Here is a 6000-nt window from a genome sequence, read left to right on the forward strand (position 1 = left end):
CGTGTTGGCCAGGCTGGTCTCGAACTCCTGACCTCATGATCTGCCCCCACCTCAGTCTCCCAAAGTGTTGGGATTACAGGCGTGAGCCACTGCGCCCTGCCTTCATTTGATTTTTATTTTATTTCTTTGATACAGGGTCTTGGTCTGTCACTCAGACTGGAGTGCAGTGGTGCTATTAGGTCTCACTGCAGCCTCAACCTCCTAGGTTCAAGAGATCTTCTCCCCTAGCCTCCTGAGTAGCTGAGACTACAGGCATGTGCCACCATGCCTGGCTATTTTTTTCTTTTCTTTTCTTTTCTCTTCTACTTCTCCTTCTCCTTCTGTTGTTGTTTGTAGAGACAATGTCTCACTGCATTGCCCAGGCTGGTCTTTTGCCTTAGCCTCCCAAAGTGGGATTTTAGGTTTGAGCCACTGCACCCAGCCATAAAAGATACTTTTAAATGATATTTGTGATGAACCAGTTGACACAAGAAAGTTTTCAAGCCTATTTATTCTGACTATGAAGATGTTTCACCATTTTACAACCAAGACCACCATCTATATTATATATATGAACCTTGTTTTTACTTGGTGCCCTATGATGTTTTCTTTTATTTCCTTCTATTTATCTATTAGTTCAGGTCTATTGAAGCATTTTCCAACAATGATATTTGCTGTTTTTAATACAATTCAGTGAGTTTTGACAAACACATAAAGTGTGTGAAACCACTACAATCACGATATAGAACAGTTAGATCAATTCTTGAAGTTTCTTGGTGCCTTTTTGTTTGGTTGGATTTTTGTTTATTGTGGGGTTTTTTGTGTGTGTGTTATTTTTGTTTGTTTTTGTTTTGTTTTGATCACTTTATTTTATTTTATTATTATTATACTTTAAGTTTTAGGGTACATGTGCACAATGTGCAGGTTAGTTACATATGTTTACATGTGCCATGCTGGTGTGCTGCACCCATTAACTTGTCATTTAGCATTAGATATATCTCCTAAAGCTATCCCTTCCCCCTCCCCCCGGAATGTGATGTTCCCCTTCCTGTGTCCATGTGTTCTCATTGTTCAGTTCCCACCTGCGAGTGAGAATATGCTGTGATGGTCGCTTTCTTTCTAACAGTCTAGCCCTGGGCAGTAACTGATCTGGTTCCTGTTCTTATTGCTTTCCCTTTTCTAGAAAGCCATACAAATGGAATCACAGAGTATGTAGCCTTCTGGGTAGGTCTTTTTTCACTTAGCATAAATAATTTGAGAATTCTCCATGTTGTTGAACATGTCAGAAATTTGTCCTTTCAAAATTGCTTAGTAGTAGTCCATGGTACACATGTGTTACAGTGTGTTTAATCTTTACTTAGCTTAGGTATATTAGAGTTGTCTCAATAATTGCCCTTTACCAAGCTACTATAGATATTAATATATAGCTTGTTTTGTAAACTTAACAGACCATAGCTTGGCAAGGGTTGTCAAGAATGTGAAGTAACTGGAAATCTAATACATTCTTGGTAGAAATGCAAAATTATAAAGCTATTCCAGATAATAGTTTAGTGGTTTCTTATAAAGTTAGACATAACTTACTATGGCATACAACAATCCACTTTTAGGTATTTTTAAAGTAAAATGAAAACTCATGTTTTTTAATATGGTTATTTGCTATTCATACATCCTATTTTGTGAAATCTCTGTTCAACTCTTGTCCATTTTTAAACTGAGTTTGCTGTTGTCGTTGGTGTTATATATTCTAGATACAAATCTTTTGTCTAAGTGTTTCACATGTATTTACTTCCAGTTTGCGGATGTTGTTTTTCCTTTCCTTAAATGCCTTTATTTTAAGAAGAGCAGAAATTTTTAAATTTTATGACATACAACGTAATTATTTAATGAATCATGCTTTTTTATCATACCTATACCTAAGAAACATTTGCCTACCACCAAGAGTTTTTCACTATTTTTCTTCTAGAAATTTTAAGAATTTCCTAATTTATGTTATGCATTTAAGGCTTAATCCATTTTAAGTTAATTTTTGCCTAAAATGAAAAGAATAGATTAAGGTTTTTTTTTTTATTCACATGAATATCCAATTGCTTCAGCAGCATTTGTTGATAAAATTCCTCTTTGTCCATTAAATTACCTTTGAAGTTTGTAGAAAATCAACTGACCATATGTGTATAGGTTTATTTCTGGGTGCTATCCTGTTTCATTGATTTTTGTGTCCATACTTTACAAATACCACACTATGCTGATTAGTATAATTGGAAGTGTTTGTTTACAGGATTCTTTGTCCTTGTCAGGATTTTAATGATATCACTTCATTGTTCTTTGAAGTTTTTTGAAGTTTCCAAGTAGAACTAACAGTTATGTTGAGCAAGATCACTGGCTACAAAGTTAATTTACAGAAAACAATAGTGTTTCTATATAGTAGCAATGACCATTTGGAAATTACAAGTTTTAAATGTCCACACATGCAATTGTATAGAAATATAACAAATCTACTAAAATATGTTTACTGCTAACAAGATCCATTGCTAACAAGACCGATTTACTATAGTAAATCTTAAAATAATAAAATGTGCATTTTCTAACTGTACCTTTTTTACAAAACTGTTTTTGCTATTCTTGTTTCATTGCTTTCTATATACATTTTAGTATTCATTCATTGATTTTTACAGAAGCAATCAAACAAAATGTTAGATGCTGGCATTTTGATTCAGATTGTGTTTATTCTGTAGACTTATTTTAGAAAAATTGATGTCTTACAAGTAGAGTCTTCAGATCTATGAAACTGGCATATTCCCTTTTTTGGTTTCATTTCCGTGATCAGTATTTTATTGTTTCCAGGAATCAGTCTTGATAGTAGGAAACATATTTTGGTAGATTTGTTAGATTTATACATAATTGCATGTGTGGACATTTAAAACTTTTAATTTCCAACTGGTCATTGCTACTCTATGGAAACAAAATTGTTTTCTGTAAACTAAATTTGTAGTCAGTGATCTTGCTCAACGTAACTGTTAGTTCTATTTGGAAACTATGTATATAAAAAAATAAAGTGACATCATTAAAATCCTAACAGGGAAAAAGAACCCTGTAAACAAAGACTCCTACATTCAGCATGTTAAGTAGTTCAATTTTATTTTAATGTAGACATGAATAATTAAAATCAATATCATGAACCCCAAGGTAATCATTAATTTTTAAGAGATATAAATAATGAGTCAATGTTGGTGATAATTTGGTTAAAAATAATATAAAACAGATAGTATAAAAGGAACAGAAACAGAAAGAATAAAATATGAGAAAGATGGTAGACATTATTTCAATAATATCATTAATAATTCAATAAAATTGAAATACACTTGAGCATACATTTAAAAAGATGACACTTAAATGGCCAAAAATATAAATAAATGTTCATCTAACTTATTATAAAAGCTTAGAAGAGTCAGGATTCTCATATACTATACCAGAAATAAGAATTTCTACAACTTTGGAAATTTTTTAATAAATTTGAAGATAAATATATTTTAACTCATTCATCTTACTTTTAGATATATGCCCCCTAAAAATACGTACATCTGTATTAAAGACAAGCAAAAATATTCATGGCCTGAGTATACATAATAGCCGAAATCTAGGAACAACCTAAAAGTTCATTCAGTACAAAAATAGGAAAATAAATTTTGTTATAATCACAAAATGGAATACTGTACAATGAGAATAAACTACAACTATATATAACATAGACACATTTTTAAGTATGTAATTGTAATAAAAATAAATTGGACATAAAAATAATATGTAATGAATGGTTCTATTTATATAGACTTTTAAGTGCAGGAAAACATAAACTTAGAAAAATGCATAAAGCAACAAAACTCTAAAAAAAACAAGGATGTGATTATCAAAAAGTTAAGAAAGTGGTCACCTGATGAGATGAGGGAGTGCAGAGTGAGGAATGCTAAAAAAAAAAAAGGCTTCTAGAATTTTGACATTGACATTGTTTTACATTGTCATTAGTGTAATGGCTATAGGAATGTGTTTTTTTAAAATTAGAGCTGTACAATTTTGCTATGTGTGCTTTTTTATTTGAGCATTATATTTCACATATATAAATTATGTTATATATCTATATAAATTATATATACATATATATATAGTGGTTCTTGATAAACTTGGCCTTGTAAACAATAATAAGTAAGTCACACTTCTTCCCCCACATCCCACATTAATAGTCACATTAAAATGCATGACAGACACAAAATACCAAGTCACTGTAAATGACAAATACTCCAGTGATCTGACAGATAGCAAACACAACTTTTATACATGAATACATGGAAGGAAATCTGAAGCTAAGCACTAGAGGCAGAAAAAGGGCAACTGAAAATGCCTTCTCATTCTGCCCTACATGCATAGACTTTACATGTATATGTTTATTGCAGAACAGAATGACAACTGACATGGAAAATATTTTTGAAATTAACCTGCACCATTTCTATTTTCCGTAATGTTAATTTAAACGTCTCCTTCAATCCCTTGTCATGAATAGTAATGTGTAAGTAGTAGGAATCTCGCCATCATAGAACTAAAACTCAAAACAACAATAACAAAAAACAGTTGATCTTTGGGATGTTTGGCACCCATGCACTGTTTTGGCAAAATAATTACTAAAATTGCTTTAAAATTCCTCTAAAATATAACCTGCTACTTTATAGTATCAATAGATAATGGCAGCTAAATATTCCACTAATATTAAAATAGTGATAAATTATTTATAACACTGATAAAAGAAATGTAAAAGATCCAGTCAGTCAATTAGTGCTCAAGAGGAATCTAGCTCCCACTGTTGAAATAATTACAGACTTCTGCACTATACAAGGAGACTATAGAATTAAAGATTCGGAGAAAATATGCAGTTTTGAAATATACCATTAAACTGAAATTTAGAAAGTATGTACTTAGTTATTTCAATAAGTTTATTAATTATTAAAATATAGATTCTTTATAATGAGAAATTCAAGATACTTTCAAAAGAAATGTGGATGCAATTAAAAAGGAAATGGATGTTATAAAAAGTTTTTGGACAAGACAAGAACAATATTTTAGGAAGAATTCAAATGAAACAGCAAAATTTAAACTTTCATTAAAAAACAAAATGAATGCTGATAATATTATTGGAAAAGATTAAACCAATGTCTAACAGCAGAACTTGAGAGATTTTATCAGAAAAAAAAGAAAAAATGTTTTCAGAAATGTGTGTGAATATGTGTGTTGTGTGAAACAACATGAATGACAGAGGAAAGAGAGGAGGGCAAAAGAAAGAGATCCTGCATAATAATATTGATATTCTTAAAGACTGCAGAGAATAAACAAGTGGCACAAGAGCAGTAAAAGGCATAGTCTAAGTCTTTTCTGAGGTTAAGAAAGAATATAATATTTTAATCAAAATTGTGCAATGAATAACAAGAAAATATGTTGAAAAAGAGAGGCAGAGCAAGATGACCAAATAGAAGGCTCTACAGATCATCCCCTTTCCAAGGACACCAATTTAACAGCTATTTACACAAAACTGGCACCTTCATAAGAGCCAAAAGTTAGGTGAACACTCACCTGACCTGGTTTTGAATTCATAATGCTGAAAGAGGCATTACAGATGGTAGAAATGGCTATTGCCACCCCTTGCCCATTCCCTGGCATCAGCCTCACAGCATGGAGAATCTGTGCACCCAGGAGAGGGAGAACACAGAAATTCTGAGACATGGCATTGAACTCAGTGCTGCTCTGTCACAGCAGAAAGCAAAACCAGGCTAAACTCAGCTGATGCAAATTCTGGCAAGCCTTGCGACCATCAGGGCTAATGTATTCTGGGGCCTTAAATAAACTTGAAATGCAGTCTAGGCCACAAATACTGACACTCCTAGGTGAGTCCTAGTTCTGACCTGGGCTCAGAGCCAGTGGACTTGAGGAAGGCACAAGACTTACTGAGACACCAGCCCAGGCAGCTAAGTAAGTGCTTGC

At 32.4% G+C, this 6000-nt stretch overlaps 1 long non-coding RNA gene across 1 annotated transcript in view; it reads right to left on the reverse strand.

The window, feature by feature from the left end:
* The window catches only part of LOC124901765 (uncharacterized), a 28654-nt gene extending 22986 nt beyond the window's left edge, over positions 1-5668 (reverse strand). The window contains exon 1 of the long non-coding RNA XR_007060575.1: positions 5593-5668. This is a non-coding gene — a long non-coding RNA (uncharacterized LOC124901765). The remainder of the gene's footprint in view (positions 1-5592) is intronic.
* Positions 5669-6000: the final 332 nt, after the last annotated feature.

Source organism: Homo sapiens, chromosome 7 (genome assembly GCF_000001405.40).
Source record: "Homo sapiens chromosome 7, GRCh38.p14 Primary Assembly".
NCBI lineage: Eukaryota > Metazoa > Chordata > Mammalia > Primates > Hominidae > Homo > Homo sapiens.